Source organism: Homo sapiens, chromosome 15, assembly GCF_000001405.40.
Source record: "Homo sapiens chromosome 15, GRCh38.p14 Primary Assembly".
NCBI classification, from domain to species: Eukaryota; Metazoa; Chordata; class Mammalia; order Primates; family Hominidae; genus Homo; species Homo sapiens.
In genome coordinates this window covers 68,411,885-68,432,716 of record NC_000015.10, presented here as the reverse complement: position 1 = coordinate 68,432,716, position 20,832 = coordinate 68,411,885, and the positions used below count along the sequence as shown (strand labels likewise).

At 51.4% G+C, this 20,832-nt stretch overlaps 1 protein-coding gene across 2 annotated transcripts in view, besides 1 other annotated feature; it reads left to right on the top strand.

The window, feature by feature from the left end:
* ITGA11 (integrin subunit alpha 11) overlaps positions 554–20,832 on the top strand; it is a 135,632-nt gene continuing 115,353 nt past the window's right edge. For both annotated transcript variants that reach the window (XM_011521363.3, NM_001004439.2), the window contains exon 1: positions 554–702. In XM_011521363.3, coding sequence (XP_011519665.1) covers positions 651–702 — 52 coding nt within the window. In that variant the 5' untranslated portion in view covers positions 554–650. The remainder of the gene's footprint in view (positions 703–20,832) is intronic.
* Positions 1,394–2,153: an enhancer, noted in NCBI's record as "H3K4me1 hESC enhancer chr15:68722903-68723662 (GRCh37/hg19 assembly coordinates)". NCBI's record gives its function as "activates a minimal SCP1, AML or CMV promoter by ChIP-STARR-seq in naive H9 embryonic stem cells {active_cell/tissue: H9 hESC(naive)}" and the evidence as "EXISTENCE:reporter gene assay evidence [ECO:0000049][PMID:30033119]".

Here is a 20,832-nt window from a genome sequence, read left to right as displayed (position 1 = left end):
TGGGTGCTTTGGAATGCCTCAGGTGTGGAGGCTCAGGGAGTGGCAGTGGAGGCGAATCTGCATGTATTCCAGGGTCAGAAGAAACACTAGCCTCTACAATTCAAGCCGCAGGGTGCAGGGAGACACGGGGATGTCTTAGAATGGACCTTTGAGGGACATCCACTCACTTGGCCAAGGGAGACCTGCGTTCCAGCAGGTGTTCCTGAGCCAGCTTGGGTACCCTCTGAGTTTTGTGAATCTCTTTTCACTGGGAAATGGGAATAAAAACCACTTTTCCTGAACAGAATCTGACTGAGGCGGTGCGGTGCTACACTGGTGAGGGGGTTCCCAGGAGCGGTTCTCTGGAGTTTTCTCCAGAGGCTGACGTGGGGTTGGCGGAGAAGGAGCGCTGCACAGGCGCGTCGAGGCAGCGCGCCGCCTGCCCAGGTGGCAGAGCGGCCGAGACTGGCCCAGAGCCCGAGCCGGAGTGGTGTCCGGCGCCCCTCCCCTCCGCTCGAGCCCTCCCACTTCCTCTGAATGAGCCGCAGCTGTCAGGGAGCCCGGCGCCCCGCGCAGTGCAGGCTGCAGGCGCCGCGCCGAGGAGGCTGCCGCTCTGGCTTGCCGCCCCCCGCCGCCGCTGCACACCGGACCCAGCCGCCGTGCCGCGGGCCATGGACCTGCCCAGGGGCCTGGTGGTGGCCTGGGCGCTCAGCCTGTGGCCAGGTAGGTGCCCACCCTCTGCCTCCCCTTGCCTCTCGGAGTCCCTCCCTGGGCCCTCGGGGCTTGGATCCAGCGGCCAGGATCGGGACGCGACCCTCCTCCCAGGGTCAGACCTCAGCTGCTCTTGGGGACGTGGGTCCCCCAGGGACTGGCCCCAGTCTAGCGGTTCAGTCAAGTTTCGCTAAAGAGGGAGGTGCGAAGGCTATTGAAAGCCGGGACTCTTTGGTGTGTTTGGGAAGAGTTGAAGAGGCTTGAGTTGAAAAGCTCCCAGATCTGGTGGCCCTCCTGGGCGCCTTAGGTGCCTCCAAGGCCCATGCCGGGGTTCCCGCACGGCTGCCAGGGGCACTCGGGTGTCCCGGGAGCGCCGAGGGCGCACGGCCCCGGCTGGGGAAGGGAATCAGCGCCAAGAGAGTGTGCCCTGGCTGCCCTCCTGCCTGGCTCCGGGGAAGCATCTCAAAGTTTGGAGAGCCGGGCGCGGCGGCCCCGGAGGGCTGAAGGGTGGGGGTGAGGGCTGCGCAGAGTGCCTCCGGCCAAAGACAGAGCAAAGCCCCGGGGCGATGGCCGGTAGGCGGGGGCTAGCTCTCGTCTGCCCGGCCAGCAGCGGCGGGACACAGTCGCGCAGCGCAGGACCCCCGAAACGTTACCTGACACCCGGGGTAGGGACCCGGCATTGCCTCCCAACCCGCGCTCGGAATTATGCAATTATTCAATAATCTGGGGAAAGCCGCCGTCGCCTAGACGCGCGCCGCCGCCTAATGCACTCCAGGTGTCGGGGCGCGGCAGGAACCTCCGGCCCGAGGGGCGCGCGGCTGGGAGCGGGAAGCCAGCCCTGAGCTCTCCGCCCTAGGGTACCCTGGCCCCGGCCGTCCCACACCGGGCTCCCCGGCTCCACCCTCCACGCGGGGCGGCTGCCAGTGATGCTGTTCTGCGGAAGACGGCCAAGTGCTCCGGCAAGGGCCAGCGCCTCGGTTACTGGCCGGGTGTGGGCGCTCAACCTTGCCTCCCCTTCTGCGTGGGCTCCAGGCCCGAGCTGGGGCCAGTAGTGGGGGTCAGATGCGGTGGTAGTGGGAGAGGTGCCCTCAGGGAGCTCAGGTGGAGACCCCTATCCCGCAGCCGCTTGCCCCAGTCCCCGGGTACCACGCGAAGCAAGTCCACCCTCCTGTCGGCCTACAGAGGAGCTTCTCAGAGGGCCCATGGTTGAAAGGGCCTCTGGCTAGTGGAATCCTAGAGTCACAGTTTAAAACAATCATTGATACATTGAGTTGTGGGGGCTTGGAAGGGAGAGCAGGGGAAGAACTGCCACCAGGCCAATATGCAACTAGAAGCCAGCTGCGGGAGGAGGCCAAGCCCATTTAGGTGTGTTTAGACAGGAGGGGAGAATCTTCTCCAGGAACTGTCCTCATATCACTAGGAGATCCAGCCACAAGAAAAGAGACGCACTCCTGTGTGACTCCAGATAGGTGGCTGCATCAGAACCTTGGGAAGGAGTGGCTGCCTTAGGGGCTAGGGACAGCCTGGACCTCAGGAAGCTAAGAGCAATGGCTTTGGAATCAGACCTGGCTTCCACTTCTGGCTCTGCACCCTGCTAGCTGTTCAATCTTGGACTGGTTATGCGACCTTTCCAACAGGTTTCCTTATGTGAAGAATGGAGACACAAATTCCGTGTCCTGTAAAGTTGTCAGGATGCACTAAGGCACTGTAAGAAAGGCCCTTAACACAGGGCTGGGTGCACAGTAGGCTTTAATCAATGGTTGTTAATGTTGTTGCTACTCAAGGAGGAGGGGGCAGAGAATGACATTAAAGGACCTCTGAAGACACAGGATTTGTGACTCAGAGCTCCGCTTATATGGCGAAAACCACTCCTGAGTTATGTCTGGTCAGTTGCATTCTTGAAATATGGGATTCATTAAACATATCAATCAATGTTGGAACAATGACATCTGCTTGCAAGGAGCTGGGGGTGGGGCCCTAGCGTGTGTGCAATCTGGGTCCTGCCTGTAACTGAGAATAAGCCAAGGCCAGGGAAAGCTAAACAGAGGCACCAGGGAGTGAATGGCTTGGGGAAACCAAGGGCTGGGTGTTCAAACAAGAGAAGTTCAATTTCAGCCAGATAAGCAAGGAAGGCTTCCTGGAGGAGGAGATATCATTTGAACTGGCCCTGGAAAAGTGTGTAGAGTGTGCATGGGCCTGAAAGTGGGAATGTTCATATTTTGGAGTATTATTTTCTGAGACTAGTTAAAGAAGATGATGAATATTTTAAAACCACTCTGGTCAGTGTGGACTTTGAAGACTAGAAGGGTCTCAGGGATCATTGGGTTCACTCCTCAGGCTCCAGGACAGGACTGATGTTGATACCTCATCCATGCATCACATGAATTCAATGTGAGGATTACCAGGAAGCTTGTCTACTGGTGATGGCAGTTTGGCTGGGCAGGGAACCTGTCAGAGGCCAAGTTGAGGGTGAGACCTCAGAGCATCTACTCTCCCAGAGCTCCAGCTGCAGGCTGGACAGCGTGATGGGGTAGACAAAACTAACAGGAAAGCCTAAAAAAAAAGTAATCAAGTCCAAAGAGAGAGATCCATTGACCAGAGCTTTACAGTCATAACCTATCTGTAGGAAGGGTGATGATTCTTAGAAGCATAATCTTTGCTGAGCACCTGTTATCTGCCAGGCCCCATAAAGACACAAAGTGAGATCAGACACAGCGTAAGGGTGGAGGCCCTGGAGTTTCACTGCCTGGGATTGGCCTAGCCCCTGCCGGTTAGGGCTCTGTGCTCTTGGCAAGTTACTCCATGGCTCTGTGCCTCAGTTTCCTCACCTACAAAGTGGGGGTAATAATAGAACTTAGAGTTATCACAAAGATTAATGCTTAGAAAGTGCCAGGCATGTATTAAGCACTCAAGGAGGTTGTCTTCTCCAACATCATCAGCAGCAGCAGTAGCACTCAAGATATTGACTATTCAGGATCTAAGGACACAGAGATATAACTTTCAAACTCAAGTTCTCAAGAGAAGTTTAGAGGAAGTACATTGAAGAATCAGAGGAGACATACATGCCAGGGCCCCAAATGAGTGAAGACTTTCCTAGTCCCTCCCGCAAAGCCCTGGCCCAAACTCTTGATCATAATAAGAACTCAGGGTTGTTGTTTTGTTTGTTTGTTTACCATCGGGGCTGTCTTGAAGTCAGTATGCTCTTGATGTGGGTGTATTGTGGTGTGGAAAAGGAGAAGGCCCATACCATGCAACATGGCCCTTGTGGGTAGGGGTCCTACCCAACAGAAAGCAACCTGTGGAAAAGCACAGTGCTAGACACCACAGGTGTACAAAGGCTCCAGAGGTCCAAGACTTGCTCCCAGCCTCTCCTTCCCAGTGGAGAGCAGGGAAGAAGGGAAAGTTTGTCACTTTGCCACCCCATTGCCCACTTTGACAGCCAAGCCCCTCAGCTGCCATTAGCTGAGGAGCTTCTGGATCTTTCCATATCACAAGCAGACCCTGGAGTCTCACTCTTTTTCTGCTTACTCACCATGACCCCATCTCTACCCCACAGTGGACCCCCAGAGAGGGGATGTCTATCTCCATGCTCTTCCCACCATTCCCAGCCCATCCACACAGGGCTGTGAGCCCTGGAAGAACTCAGACAGTATCTTACCTCTCAACCTTGCCCTCTCTGAACCTCTTTTTCCACCCTCCTGTAGTGGGGAGCTCTTCCTTCTTCTAACAGCAGGGACCTTCCCTTGCATTCTCCCTCCCTTCCACCAACACCCCCAGCTCCTATCACTTAGGATAAAAATATGTTCTAAGCTGAGCTGGCTTTGCTCTTGCTATGCAGAAGGGAATTTGGGGAATTTTAAAAGCCCCTGTTTCTTCTCCACAATGCCTGACTTTGGGTGTTATTGTCTCACCATGGGCTTCCAGAGCTTACTTTGGGGGTCAAAGTCGAACATTGTTCTAGGATCCATCATAACCCTCCCCAGGCAGTGATGGGCTCTGGCTGACTCAGGGAAGGTCAGCTACAAAATGAGCCTTAAAAATCCTCTAATATGGTTCAAAAATGGTATCTCTGCTGATCCTCATCACTGAAGTCCCCTTCCAGGCCCACCCACTCCCCACCAACTGTATGTAGGCTACCACCAAGGATTCATAGCCATTTGGAACTTTTCCCTAAGCAGCTGTGAGCTCCAAAGACACCCACACATCTTCAGCATGGAGTGCTTTCTATAGGAGCTGTGGTCCAAGGGCGACCCTCCACAACCCCATCATGCAGATCCTAACTGTGTGAATTCTTTGTCAAATGCCCATTAAGTTTGTTACCACTGACAGGAGAAGGAGAGGAGGAGACTGGTGCTGGTCATCTTGTAAATCTAAAATAAGTGAGCTGCAAAAAAATTCCATGGAGAGTTTTCATACTATATACTTAAGATCTGAGTCACACGACGTGTGAAATCCCACCTGGAGGAAAAAGTCAGTGAGGCCAAACCCCCTCCCTGCTGCCTCTCACTTCCTCCTTCACTGAAGCACTCACCAAGCAGCAGAAATAATTGGCATGTGCATGGGCTTAGGACCTAGACTGCCCGGATGCAAATCCTTTCTACCTGGGTGACTCTGGGATAAGCCCCCAGGCCTCAGTTTTCTCAACTGTAAAATGGGCAAAATAACAACTTCATAGGACAACAATCAGGTTAAATGTCCATATGTAATTCATTTGTGTCAAGTGCTGAGAACAGTGTCTGGCACCCAATAAGCCCTCAGCTAACAGAAGCATTATTACTCTTCCCATCATTTAATATTTGATTGATGTCAGGCACTGTGTCAAGCACTTTCTCACATCTCAATAAGGCCTTGCTACAGTTGCACAAAGTCACTGCTACAATTCTGCCATTTCCAGGTTACACATAGGAAGTTAAAAGGCTCATCCAAGGTCATGTCGATAGAGTAAGAGGCATTGTTGGGATTTGTCTGACCCCCAGGCCACTGCCTTTTTTTTTTTTTTTTTTTTTTTTTTTTTGAGACAGTCTTGCTCTGTCGCCCAGGCTGGAGTGCAGTGGCATGATCTCGGCTCATTGCAACCTCCACCTCCCAGGTTCAAGTGATTCTTCTGCCTCAGCTTCCTGAGTAGCTGGGATTACAGGCCTGTGCTACCATACCCAGCTAATTTTTGTATTTTTAGGAGAGATGGGTTTTCGCCATGTTGACCAGGCTGGTCTTGAACTCCCAACCTCAGGTGATCTGCCTGCCTTGGCCTCCCAAAGTGCTGGGATTAGAAGGGCCACTGCTTTTAATCCATGCACCATACTCTCTTCAGGAAATGGAACTTGAGGGCACAGAAAGACAGTAAGTTGTCCTTGTTAAAGGAGGTGTCTTCAACAGCTGAGAAATGGAGGAATTGGGGAATTGTTGGGGAATTGAGATCAGTATGCAAACAGCTACCCCCACAGGGGCACCAGCTTCTAGGCCCAGCTAGACAGTGACTCCTCCAACAAGATGCTGACTCGGTAGAAGTGGTCCTCCTATGATGCTTCATTATGTGAGAACGTCTCTCCCTCTCCCCTCTCCCCACCCAGCTCAGGGCCCACCAGGCTCTGCCACCTGCCCCCAGGTGCCCAGTGCTCTGGAACACTGACTTCCCAGGGGCTGTCATTCCAGCCCATTCTCAGGGTCAAGGTTTGGCGATCTTCTCCTGTCTGCCCCGCCTGCTCCCATTCCGCTAATCAGAACCTGCTCTGAGCTTCAGGCCTAATGAGTTAACTCATGCTGAACCGCACTAATAAGTGATGACAACGTGATGTGTTCTACCCAAAGGGATTTCCATTTCAACTGGCTGTGCCTTGAGCCCAAGGAATAAAGGGCTAATGGTGGGATGTCAGGCACCAGGGCCAGCCAGCAGATGAAATAGGTGAGGCTGGAAGACCTACCTGGTGTAGTCCAACCACTTAGCCCCCTGCCCCATCACTGGTCAGATACCCCCTACCCCAGCCCTTGTTGCTGATGGGCAGCCTCGTTCTATAACATAGAAGAACCCAGCTTGTGGCTTGGGTGATGCAGCTCTAAAGCGGGCAGAGGTTTTTCCACGTGGCATGTGGGGTGAATTAGGCAAGTTGCTATAGCAATGCACTCCGGGCTTCCAAACAGGATGACACAGAGAAGGGGTTCCTGCCTGCGCAGCTGGGGCTGACAGCTTTCTTCCCCCAGCAGCATCACTCAGCTGGGCCAGACAACCAGAAATCCTGACCCTGCGGATTTTCAGGGCCTGTTTCTTCCCTGAAGATCAGAGGACTGGGCCTCAGGAAGGCCATGGAAAAATTGTGAAATGGGCAAGTGGGCGTAGCTCTAGATAGTCTGCAAAGAGCACTCCCAATGTTCCTTCTGTCAGTCAGGCCGGGCCAGGTGAGGCCAGAGTTCCTGCTGAGACAGGTGTGTCCATTAGATGGATGGAGAAACTGAAGCCCTTGCCCCACCTCCTCCAGGCAGAAGGGTACAAAGCAGTCTCCATTCCCTCTCCATCTCCTGGAATTGCTCTCTCCCTGGCACTATGCATAGCCCCTGCGTTCAGAGATTGGTGGCCATAATAAAGTCCCATCAATAGTTTGTAGACAGGGTTCTCTGAGTTTATTCAAACCACATATGACACATGCAGGACCAGTTACTTAATCTGAAGGACCCAGTGCAAAATGAAAATGTGAGACCCCTTGTTTTAAAATTACTAAGAATTTCTAGATGGCCACAGCAGGGCATTCACCAAGTGCAGGGCCTTTCTGAACATGAGGCCCTCAGCCACTGTACAGGCCAAGCGCTCATCAAACCGGCCCTGCTCACATGGCTCTCCCCGTGGGCCTGTTGTTTGGCAAGGAAGACACCATGATCCCACTTTACAGATGATAAAAAACCAAGTGGCCTGTCCATTTCACCAGCATGTGCTGAGCGCCCACTAAGCCCCAGGCACCTCCAAGTTCTGGGAATTCCAAATTAGATAAAGCGCGGTCTCTGCCTCAAGAAACATGGAGAAGGCACCCCACAGATCCCACAGACTGCAGGGCTCATTCCAAACACTGATGTACACAGAGGGCAGGGGTGTCTGTGGAGCAGTTCTAAAGGCACACGCCAGAGCTGTGAGGTCATTTTTAAGCCATGGAATTAAGATACTTCTGTCTCCAGTTATTGCCTCAAGACTGCTTTGGGAACCTTTTTAGGGGATCTCTGCATCTTCAACATTGGGCTCTGGAGCTTCCACCTTGGCAGACTTGAGAAGCTGGGACTTAAAATTCCTGGCCTTTCGGCAGCCCCAAGTATTTGTATTGGCATAGTCCTCCAGGGTCAGCACTTCTAAATAAGGGTTGACTCCTGTTCACCTGCCCACATGGGCTTCGCATCTCATTCTGGCATGGAATTGTAGAGGGTCAGCACTAGGAGGGAAGGCAGGGACCAGCAGATCCAGTGGTCCTCCATCCTGGGTGAGGGTGAGAATGATGATGTAGAAGAAAACTGTCGTGCAGACCCCACCCCAGAACACATCATCACTCTCCACATTGGGGCCCAGCAGGGACATTTTTTGAAGCTGTCCAATAATTCTAACGGGCATCCAAGATGGAGGATCACTGGTATAATGTAAACCCAGCCCCAGTCAAGCAAAAAAAACCAAACACTCTCCAGGGAAGGAAAATGACTTGCCTAGGGTCACACAACACCAGTGGTAAAGCCAAGATTTAACCAGTTCTCCTGACTCTCAGTCCTTCTGGAACTGCCCAGCCTGCAGTGCCACAGGATTCACAGCTGGGTTGGGCTGGAGACACAGCTTGAGAGTTTGAGAAGCTGAGTGCAAGGTGGACTTTGCAGATTGGAGCTGGTAGGTGTGGAGTGATTCATTGGTGATACTCTCTATGTCCCCTACAAGGCATAAGCTACTTGATCCCTGTGTGGCCCCAAGGGGGAGACCAGAAAAACCAAAGAGGAGCTATAGATAAATTGATTTGGCTGAGGATGCCAGTCAGAGCTGTCCACAGACAGATGCACCGGCACTGGGGCGGGGGGTTCTCTGAGTTTCTCAGAGATGTTGGCAGGGGTTAGTCGAAGTCCATTAGGGTCATTCCAACCCTGTGATCTTGGGCCCTGCTGAAATTGAAGTGAGGGTTCAGGTGAAGGAAGCACCTGACTCAGGATGGGACACCGACAACGCCAAGCCCAGGCTGGGTGAGGAAGGAATACTCCATCAACAAGAAGGAGGAGGCCGGCCTGCGGGGTGGGACAAGCAGGGGGACACCTAGGACCTCCCTGAGGTCCCCAGCTCAGGTTTCATTGTCCCTCTTGCCCCCATTCATCCAGAGCTTTCTCCACAGCCGTCAAAGTGAGGCTCAAAAACAAACAGAGTTGTCTTACTTTCCTCCTTAAATCCTTAGTAGCTCTCTACAACCATTGGGTTGAGTCCAGACTCTTTGACAGAGCCAACCAGACCAGGTAGGAATGGCCAGCCCTGGCCTGCATTCAGGACTCACCTCTAACAGAGCCATACGTTTGGGCACCTGCACACGCCAACAGCAGCCCCAATGAGACTGAGCTTCTTAGTTTCTTAAACACACTGAGCTGTCCCTGGCCTTCACTCCTGTTGTTGCCTATGTCTGATTCTACCCTCTGCCTCATTTCTCCTGGCTGCCCCCAACTTATTCTTCAGGTCTCTGCTTGCCACTTCCTCCTGAAAACCTCCCCTGACCTCCTCAATCAGTCAGGTGGGGCCCCACTTGTGTGATTCCAAGGTGTCCTGTACTTCCCCCGCCATACAGCATTCCAGTTGCCTGGACATCTCCCCTACTGAAAAGGGAGCACCAGGAGAACAGGGACCATATCTGTAATTAGCCACTGTATCCCCGGGTCTTGCACAGCGCGAGACATAGCAGGTGCTCAGTTAAGATGTGTTGAATGAACCAAAGAACTCTCTGTCCAGGTAAATGGAAAGCTATTTAAGGGCAGGGTAGATGTCTTCAATTTCTTTGCACATGCACTCCAGGAGGTAATAGCACAATAGCCTTTGGAATCAGGCCCTGGGAGATGCTCTGGGGGATAAAAGATGAGAAGAGATAACTCCTGCCTTTCAAGGAGCTTGTGGTTTAGCAGGAGAGAGATTTTTGGATAAATAACTACAATGCAAGGGAGGAAGTAATGACTGTGAGCCAGCTACAGATAAAGGACTCTGGGATTTGAGAGGTGGGAGAGAGATTATTTGTAAATGCAAGAAGGACTGGGTCTGGCAGCAAGAGGGTTAGGGAGAGAGTTCACCTGGGTAAACTGCCTGAGGTTTGGTGGGCAGGATGCCGGAGTGTGTGCTGTGAGGAATGGTAAGAACAGAACAGTGGGCTGAGGCCTCTGAGAGGAAACCGAAAGCCAACTAAGGCATTTGGATTTAGCAGATGGGAGCCATGGAAGGTTTTTGAGGGAGAGCAGTGACATGTTCTATCTGTGCTTGGAGGAGCTTCCTCAGGTGGGAGGGGGAGGCTGGATACAGCAGGGCTACGATGGGGAGCAGGTAGAATGATAAGATGGCTACTGCAGCGACCCAGCAAGGGGACACCAGAGTGAAATGAGGTGGTGAGATGCAAAAGGAGTGAACCCAGGGGGATAGAATTTAACAGGGCCTGGTCACCAGAGAAGGAAAGGTGTCTGGGAGACCAAGGACGGTGTCACCAACCTGAAGAGAGGCATGAGAGGATGAGAGGTTTGACAGGGGAAGTTGAGTCAGGCCTGAACGTTGACTTTGCAGTGCTCGTGGGCAGGTGGAGGTGGCCCTCAGGCAGTGGAGAATGTTGCTAGGGAGCGTGCAAGTGAGTAGTCGGACTTGGAGTGGTTTGACTGGGAGCTTTCACACAGACGTGCCTCAGTGGTGCGGGCCTGAGTGAGAGGGAGCGCCCCACGGCACAGAGCCTCTATCCCTCCACCCCTTTTCAGGCCCAGAAGCAGTGATTCATGCCCCAAACTTAAAGAGAATTCAAATTCGGACTTTAAAAGCCTTTTAGAACAGAAGAAACCAACCAGAGGGCCAGGCCAGACCACAAGCCAAACATCAGCTGTGGAATGTGCTTGCTGCTGATGGTGAAGCCAGCCAGGGGCAAAGGCACCAGCAGGCTTGCCAGCAGCCCCTACCATCGTCCTGAACATGTCCCGGTTGCCACTGGGAGTATCACCGCTCTTAACTCTCTTCTAAAAAAATTTTAATAAACACGTAATAATAATTGTACATATTTCTGGGCTACATAATGTCCTCTCTTTTCAGCGTAGATCTGTCTGCATTCTAGCCCATCTGAAACCCAGCCCCTCACCCCCACCCCCCACCCAGGCTGGCCCCACATCACCTTTGTGTGAAGGCTCTGATCTCCCATCTATCTTCCCCACTCTGCTCAGCCCAAAAGAGGAAGACCAGAAGGCAGGTTACACGAGGGGTCAGGGGACAGAAAAGCTCCCATGGCCTGTGGCCACAGCCCCCTCACTGGCCTCCTTGCATCCGCCCTTGTACCTTGAGGCTCTCCCACCCAGCAGCCAGAGGACTGCCACCAGAATGTAGGTCACATCATGTCATGTCCCTGCTCCGCTCCAAACCCTCCAGGGCTCCCCGCTTACTCTGAGTAAGAGGTCCCGTGTGATCTGGCTCTCCTGCATTTCTGACTTCCTCCTCTGTGCCTTCCCCACTGGCTCACTCCGCTCCACCCCTGGGGCCTCCGGGCTGTTCTTCAAACACATCAGGCACCTTGGACTTTGCACTTGCTGTTTCTTCTGCTTCGAATGCTCTTCCCCAAGAACCTCTCTCACTTCCTGCAGGCTGCTGTATCCAGCCTCCCCCTCCCACCTGAGGAAGCTCCTCCAAGCACAGATAGAACATGTCACTGCTCTCCCTCAAAAACCTTCCATGGCTCCCATCTGCTAAATCCAAATGCCTTAGTTGGCTTTCGGTTTCCTCTCAGAGGCCTCAGCCCACTGTTCTGTTCTTACCATTCCTCACAGCACACACTCCGGCATCCTGCCCACCAAACCTCAGGCAGTTTACTCCAACATGCTTCTCCCATTGAGGCCTTGCCTCGGGCTCCTACCTAAAATTCAACCCCCCTGCATGCATTCACATGCATAAACTCCCCTCCTATCCCCCTTCCCTGCTTTAGTCTCTCCGAGGCTTTTAATATTATCTCACATTATTACCTGTTTTATTTATTCATGTTGTATATTGCCTGCTCCGATGGAATGTAATCCTGAGAGCAAAGATTTTTGTCTGTTGAGTTTACTTACGCATCCCAGGGCCCAGAACAGTGCTTGGCCAGAGTACACAAGTGATAAATAGTTCAAGAATGAATCAATCAATCAGTTAAAATCTCCCCACCCGCCTGCCACAGTTGCTAGAAATCCCATTTACTAATCAATCACTCCTTTTAGATAAGCCAATCCTCCTCCTTACGACCCCAGGCTACTAGGTAGGTATACATTCAGTCCTGACTTTTCCCTGTCCACTTGTTATCAAAGGCTTTCTTTCCAGACAAGAAGAGGTTGGTGGCCATTGAGCATCGCTTACAAATGGGCAGAGCGAGGAAGGTTGCTGAAGGGAGGAAGGGCTCTGGAAGGGAGGGGAACCTTAGAAAGGAGTAAATTGGCTCACAGCAGGCAGTCCAGGTCAGCCCAGCTGGCCCCATGCTATTCATCACTATTTACTATGACTCTGAGATGACACAAGGAGACAGGGGAATGGCCTTGTTTTTACACAGTGAAAACCTAGTTATATAATGGGACTTCCTAGGAAACAAGGGGGCAGGGAGCATGCAGCAGAAATTTTAAATGCCTCATTTCCCACAAAAGGGTAGTGATTCAGACATCATCTATATGCCACAGAATGTGGCCATGTTGTTTAGCACCCAAGAAGGAGCTGGGAGTGCCCAGAAAAGATGGTGGGAGCTGAACATAGACCCCAGATTACAGTCCAATCCCTGGGAACCACCAAGCCAGAATCTGTCCTGGTGGCTTGGGAGATGACATGAAACCCATTGCACAGGTGGAGAGACTGAGTCTGAGCCTAACAAAGTCCATATTAGGAGCCTGTTCCACTGACATAAGGTTTCAACACTGGTCTCGACACTTAATGGCAACAGTAATACTAGCTAACATAGAAGTTAAGTAACTTAGCCAAGATCACCCGGATGATAAAGTCACAGCCTGGCATTTGAAGCCAGGCAGTCTGACTCGAGAGACTGCAATTCTGAGAGGTCAAGTGTCTTGCCCAAGGTCATACATCTGCTGCTAAACAAGAGAGCCAGAATCCAAACCTCTCAAGACTTCCATTCGATCTCTTCTAAAATAAATGTTTGGCCTTCATGTTTCTAAAAGCCCTTTAGGGGCTATGCTTCCATGCTGCCATGAACATTTCCTGAGCCAGAACCTCAATCCTGATTGTAAACCCAGATGTAACAGGAGAAAGAAGTTGACAACAGGGACTCTATTTCCAAACAATGGGTACACTCAGTACGGGGTTGGCCCTTCCTCATCCACAGGTTCATGAGGGGTCCTGGGCCTCAGGGGTTCTCTGAGAGGCCTCAGCACCAAGGGTCTGCCTGGGAGGGCCCTTAACAGAGCCTGAACATCCCAAACAAATGGCCACTCTAGGCTTGCATCCCTCCAGTGATGGGGGCTCACCACTTTGCATGGTAGTCCTTCATTTTCTAGCAAAGGCAGATGGAGTCATGAGCCCTTGACTCCTTTAAGGACCTAAAAGTAGCAGTAGACATTTGAGATCGTTTTGCAACCATGAAAAATTGGCCTGTACTGAAAACCAAAAAGACCTCTGCATAACCCTCAGAGAACAAAAACACTTCCACTCCCCAAAGTCCGCCATCCCCACCAAGCCTAGACAATGGCATCTGGTGGATCTCTGTTAAATTCCATGCAGCCAGAGACCTTTTCAGATGGGTGTGGGTATATCCACTGGAGGGCGGGCCCTGCAGGCTTAGAAGGGAAGGGCCCCCACAATTCCTTTTTTTAGTTTGCATTCAAAGAGCAGGGCAGACTGGCCCAGTAGTTCTCTGAGTCCTCTTCACCCTACTTCCTCTCGTCTGAGGGAAAGCCCTGCCACAAATTGCATATCCTGAGCCTTGTCTTGCTCTTATTTTGCCCAAACACTCTCTGGGCTGGGGCTCATCCCACATGCACAGGGCTCTTGATCCACACACCCATGACAAGCAGGAGACAAGCTTAGGAGTTGGAAAACCAAAACCAAACTGTCTGAGCTCTTTGAGATGGTCAGTATGCCAGGAAAGGGAGGGACTCACTGTCCAATTCAGCTCCAGTTGAAATGGCCTGAAGCCAGAATCAGTGTGGGCAGGGCCGCCACGTACAGCTGTACCGGCTGTGCGCTACATGATTTACATCAACTACAATGTAAACAGCATCCTCTGCAGTTGTGTAGTAAAGTGACCTCAGGAAGGGGGTGGGGGGGTGGGTAAAGAAAGTGATAAAGGTGTACATAAATGGGCTTTTAAAAATCCTACACAGGGACTTAAAGCATCGAGTCCTGTGTGTGCCTTTCACAGATAAGGCAACTGAGGGCCATGTGAAGTAAGAAACTGGTCCAAAGTTGCAAAGCAATTTAGAAACCATACTGGCAATAGAACCAGGATTTCTGAAGCCAAATCCAGTACTCTAAGTTCCTTCCCTCCCTGAGGCTCTATCACTTTCCCCTTTAACCCCTTATTGGAAGGTTAGTGTCTTAGAAGCCTGAATACTTCTATTCATTTTTTCCGTCTCATTTAACAAATGTATATAGATCACCTATTGTGAGCTAGGCATTGTTCTAGATGCTAAGGATAAAGTGGGGAGACAGACACACTGATTCTGGCTCTTGGGATGGGATAGAAAGAATTCCTATCATTCTTATTTGTAGTATTTGCCAATTACCATGATGTAAATCCTCCCACCATGGTCGTTTTCAAGCTGCCAACATGACATCACTGAATGGGAAGAGTGCACACAATCAGCTCTTGTATGCAGACTCCAGCACACATTAGTCCCTTCCTTTGTGGAACTTAAACTCCAGTGGGAGAGGAGACAGTGTCCAAGTAGGCAAACAGCTCTTATAACCACCTGTAATTATTTTTAATTGTAAAATACATAAAGAAGATGTTGTGAGGGAGAAGAACAGATTCTCCATAGCAATGGATTCTCCTTTCTCAGAGGCCATGGCGTTAAAACTGGAGGTTGAGAAGGAGCCAGCTGAGAAAAGTTCTTGGGGAAGAATGTTCCAGACAAAGGGGACTGCAAATGCAAAGATCTCAAAGTGGGAAACAGCTTGGTGTATCTGAGGAACAGAGAGGAAGACGGTGAAGCTGGAAGGTAGTAAGTGAGAAAGCAAATCCGCAGGGCCTGGTGGGCCCTGGGAAGGGTCTAGAATCTATTCTAAATGCAATGGAGGAACTCTCGGGGGCTTTAAGCAGAGCCAGGATCTAGTTCACACCGTTGAAAGATCACTGTGGCTGCTGCAAAGAGCATAGCTTGAAGCTGAGCAAAATTGGAATGAGGGACCAGTTGGAAAACTCTAGTGCAAGTCTAAATACAAAATGAAGAGGATGGCTTAGTCCAAGTATGGCAGAAGAGACAGAGAGGAGTGGGCACATTGGAGAGGAATGGAGGGCTAGAACTTGCAGGATTTGCTGATGGGAAGTAAAGGAAAATCATAAGGAATGACTTCCAAGCTTCTGGCTTGAGCCATCTGGTGGGTGGTAATGCCATTTCCTGCAATGGGGACAAAACCATTTAAGAAGCGAAAACCTGGGTTCCTTTTCCAGCATGTGAAATGTGAGATGTTATGAGACATCCAAGTGAAATGTCCTATAAGCAGCCAGGAAATTGATTGTGGGGCTCAAAGGGCAGGCCTGGGCTGGGTGGGGTGAAATATGGGGTCCTCAGGAGCTCGGGCCATGTTGAGGCCAAGGTCCCACACACTCGCTCAGACAGAGCAAGACTCTGTCTCAAAAAAAAAGAGGAGGTCCATTTTGATCACTTTTCCTACACAGAGAAAATGATAAATGATGTAAGATGGAAAAATACACTAGTTTTCATAAAAAACTGTGACCCTTGTTTTTGTTTTTTACGGAGATGGGGTCTCCATATGTCACCCGGTTTGGAGTGCAGTGGTGCGATCTTGGCTTACTGCAACCTCTGCCTCCCTGGTTCAAGCAATTCTCCTACCTCAGCCTCCCGAGTAGGTGGGATTACAGATGCCTGCCACTAGGCCCAGCTAATTTTTTGTATTTTAGTAGAGACGGGGTTTCACCATGTTGCCCAGGCTGGTCTCGAACTCCTGAGCTCAGGCAATCCGCCTCCCAAAGTGCTAGGATTATAGGTGTGAGCCACCGCACCCAGCCATGACCCTTGTTCTTGAAGAAGATGATCCATATATTCTCTGAAGGCATGAGATGGCTGTCCAGGGCTCGGAGGAAAAATAATGTTAATTACAGTCAGTCTCAATGTGCTGTTTGCTGCTTTAAAGTTTTAGGCCTGTTTTCCTTGAGCTTGACATCTGCTTAACCAGCCCATTGGCAAACTCCTGAGTTCTCAGAAAAAGATACAAAGGACTGCCGAGGCTCTCACCAGCCCTTGCTCGTTCTCTGTCTCCCTGTCTCCGGATGCTTCTGTGAGTCTCTGTTTCAGCCTACATGCCACCTGCCCTAGCCGACATTTGTTCTCCTCTGCAACCCCAGGGAAGGGACCCTCACTCCTCCACAGGCTGCCCAGCCCCAGATTGATTGTTTTTTTCTGATTTGGAGAATTCTTCCTCATATAGAGCTGCAAATGCTTTTGATGGCTGAGGGGAGGCTGTTGTGATAAGTCACTTGTTAACAAGCATTAGTTTATCTACCATACAACAGGACATTGAGGGGATGGGACAGATAACAGGCAAGGCTTTTGATGAGATGACAAGACTGAAGTAGAAGAGAGGGAGGCAGGCCAGGGTCAGGGTGCTCCAAGGTTGCAGGCACCCAGTGTGTGTGATGAGGATGTGCCAGGGCCTGGCTGAAAGGGGAGGTGGAATTGACAGAGGACAGTGGGTGAATGGCAGGCTGCTCTGCATCCCTCTACTTAGGCCCTTCTTGGATGAATATCAAGTTCATCTGATAAGCTCACCCCTGGTGGCAGGCAGCACCTGCTTCACTCTTTCTGAGCATCCACATCAAGGCCAGCTGAATCTTCAAGACTCTCAGCTGACGCAGACCCTGGAACTCACCTAGTGATGGCTCCCAGCCCCTCATGACACACATGAGCTCTCTGCTTCCTGGTGTGTTCTTTTTCACATGCTTAACATTCGAGAGGGCATGTGAGCACATCCCTATCTAGGGCTCCTCCTCCCGGGGAAGGTGGACACTGTGGCTGCAGCTCCATGACACAGGCCTTGCCTCAAACCACTGGCGTGCTCAGAGCCACTCCCTGCCGGAAGCAGCAGTGGGTGTGGACTGGGGACGTGCTGTTTCCCAAATGAGATAATCTCCCCCAGAGATTCTGCTAAGAAATGAGGGGTGTGCTCATACCATGGGGACAGATGATGCTTTTCCACAGAAGCCCCCCGTGCTGCTGAAATCCTTCTCCTTTCCCTTCTGTGGCCAGTCTCTCTATCCAGCCTTCAAATGGACAGCACCCTCCATCCCTTGAACCCCTCCCCTTTCTCTAGACTCCATCAGAAGACACAATTTCTTCGTCCCATTATTCCTCCCCGTCTTCTCCAGTGAGCTGCGTTCTGACCTGCACAAAGGCTGGGGAAGCCAAGAGACACATCCAGAGATGAGGAAGGCCAGTGGCTGGCGGTGATATTATAGTTGGAGGAATAAGGAATAGGAGAGACTCCATAGCGCTTCCTTCAGAAGAAAGGCAGGGGGATAAGGCCAAGTTAGCAGAGAGACAAGCAGTCCACCCAGGGGTAGTCATTTGGCAGAGAAGTAAGATGCTGACGAGTTGATCAGAGAAGCTAGAAAACAGGGGGGTCTTTTGCAAGAGTAAAGAGGAGGGATGCATCCCTCTCCTGGAAAGACCCAAGTTTGGTTAAGTTTTCTCTAGAGCACAGGAGGGTATCAGGGTGGTAAGAACTGGCTTGGCATCACCAGGCCAGCCCTAGTGGCAGCCTGCAACTGTAGCAGCAGGGCAGGCCCGGCTGGGCGCTAAGCCGTGGGGAGAGGGGTTACAGCTCACTTTCATGGGGGGGCTTGAGGCTGAGGGACACTTGTTTGGACCCAAGTGCTAGAGGGGAAGGAGGGAATGACCTCAGTCCCAAAAGCCAATCTGATAGATACTTGCGGAGGCCCTGGCCGTTGGCCTGCCCACGGGAGTGCCCCCGGTGCCAGTCTGCCTGCTCCTCCCCTCTGAGGGGAGATGGATTTGGAAATAAGTCCAGAGGAGGCGGAACACACAGACTCAGAACCTCAGTACTGGAAATGTTTGTAGACCACCTGGCCCTACTTCCTCATTTTCTAGAAGAGGAGACAGAGGTCCAGAGAGGGAAGGTATTTGTTTCAGGTCACATAGCCAGTCGAGAAACCAGGTCTTCTGATGTCCAAACTAGTTCTCACCACAGTGGTCTCAGCACTCAGGAGGGGCTGTTATACTCCCATGTCCCCTTTGCTGAGTCCTGGAACCAGCTGTCCTAAAGTCAGAAGTTCATCCTGTGGCCTTTGACCTTAGCATTCTGCCCTCCAGCCCCGTCCCCCCAGGGACCATTCCTAGAAGACCTCAGGGAGACTGAGAAGCCTCTGTCATTCCAAGGCCACAGTCATGCCTCAAAGGAGCTGGTGCTCCCTGCCTGGTGTCCGCAAGTTTTGAATTAAGAGGGGGTCTGATGGCAGCCATGTTGCCCTCCTGCCCACTTGCCCTAAGTCTCCTCATCGAGGTTTCAGCAGCATAGTCCAGCTCTGGGGCTAGGCTGGGCTTTCTGTGGAAAGGTGACCACATCGCCTGGACCCCCACCAAGGCCTCTGTCTTTCTGACATCTGGGTGTGTCCAGAAGCCCCAGCCAGGGCAGGAGGGCCCAGCCAAGTCTCCATGGTACAGGCAAAGGGAGAGAGAGAGCTGGGCCCTGGACAATGCCAAACGTTTGATGGTGATTTTCTTTCGTTCTTTCCTTGGCTTGGGAATGCAAAATATTATCGTTTTTGCCTGGAGATTTCCCTTCCTAAATGCGCATGGCTCCGGCCAACATTAAGATGAGTTTGCATTCCTCCACACTGCCTGGTTTCCAATTCTAAATTGTTTGCTGAGACTCAAGACAGATGCTCGAGTGCCGACAACTGGAAGTCAGCTGGCGTCTGCCCAAGGGAACCTCACTGACATGTGCCGTGGTGGGTCTTCGATGTTACAAAGCAGGAGCCTCTCATTTTACAGATGGGGAAGCTGAGGCCCAGAGAGGCACCGGGGCTCTCAATGGACATCCAGCCAAGTTAATGACAAAGCTGAGATTAGAACTCAGATCACCCCACCCTAGTCCAAACTTCTCCTGGCTTCACTTCAGGCTCTGTTGACTTATAAACATGTCTGTTGCCTGCCCAGTGGGGCTGTAAGCTCTGAACACCGTAAGTCGTGTCTCAGCCAGCTTGGTGTCCTCACTTCCTACCATGGAACCTGGAGCTCCATAGACCCCAAATAGAGGTTTATTGAACTGAAGGGCCATAGAGGGGACTAACACAGAAGGAGTGGTGGTGAACATAGATAAGTATGAAGAGAGGCTGGTGACCTTGGACACATTTCTACCCCGCTCTGGGCCTTAGTCTTCTCACTTATAGCAACAAGCTTTTTAAACTCGACAGAGCAGTTCTCAAACTGTGTTCCAGGAAACCCTAAGGTTTCAGTGAGGCATCTTATGTCTGCTACTGAGGGTGGGAAATTCCTCCCTACCCCCTAGTCCTAACCCCAACATCCACTTCTTGTGTCTACTTTTCATGTATATATTTTGTTCAAAAAATGTGAGATTCGCTGTAGAAAAACAAAGTTTGGAGGCTAATAGATTATTTGATCTGGAAAATTCCTGCTTGTTCTTAAAGATAAAGTCCTGGCTGGGTGCCAGTGGCTCACGCCTGTAATCCCAGCACTTTGGGAGGCCGAGGCAGGTAGATCACTTGAGGTCAGGAGTTCAAGACTAGCCTGGCCAATATGATGAAACCCTGTCTCTACTAAAAGTACAAAAATTAGCCAGGCATGGTAGCACATGCCTGTAGTCCCAGCTACTTGGAAGACTGAGGCAGGAGAATTGCTTGAACCTGGGAGGCGGAGGTTGCAGTGAGCCGAGATTACACCATTGTACTCCAGTCTGGGTGACAGAACGAGACTCTGTCTCAAAAAAAAAAAAAAAAAAAAAAAAAGCGAATAAGTTCCCCCTCCCTAATAACATATTTGCTACACACCACCTTTGACCCAATGGTAGCTTGTCTAACGGGGAGTTCGTGTCATGCCCCCTAGCAACTGGAAAGAGAGAAAATGAGGTGAAGGAGGCCTCATGCTCTGGAGGCTCCGTTCTGCACAGAGCTGCTCCAGAGCCCAGAATCCATGTTGGGTGCCTGGCTGGCTGTGGGTCTGCGTCTGTCATTCCCTGAGTGATTCAGGACAACCCAGCCATCAGGCCCGGTGTATGGCTGAGGCAGGAGGAGGCCATGATTTGCTCGTTAGGCCACACTTCTCCCTGACAGGGTAGGCCCGGGCCCAGCTCTGCCTAATGTTGGGTCTTCCTGATGAGATCTTGAGTAGGAAATGATTGGGGTACTACCCCAGCAACCACGAGTCCCCAGAGATCCCCAGCTCCTCTTCTCCTTGTCTTTGTCCAATCACTCTGTGAAATTGTTCCTCCTCCCTGATGGTCCATCACTTAAGAGCTAAGCTGCATCAATTATCAATTGCTATAATAATGTCCTGTAACCAATAATCCCCCCAAATCTCAGTGGCACACAATAATAATTGTTTAGTTCACATATCTGGGGTCAGCTGAGGGTGGGGGAGTGAACTGGTCCAAGCTAAGCTCAACTGAGTGGCTCTGCTGGGCTCACTGGGCTTGCTTGTGAGTTTGGGGGTGCTGACCTCAGCTAGGTTGGGCTGGGGCAACTCAGCTGGGGCAGCTCTGCTCCGAATATCTCTCACTCTTTTCCTGGGGTC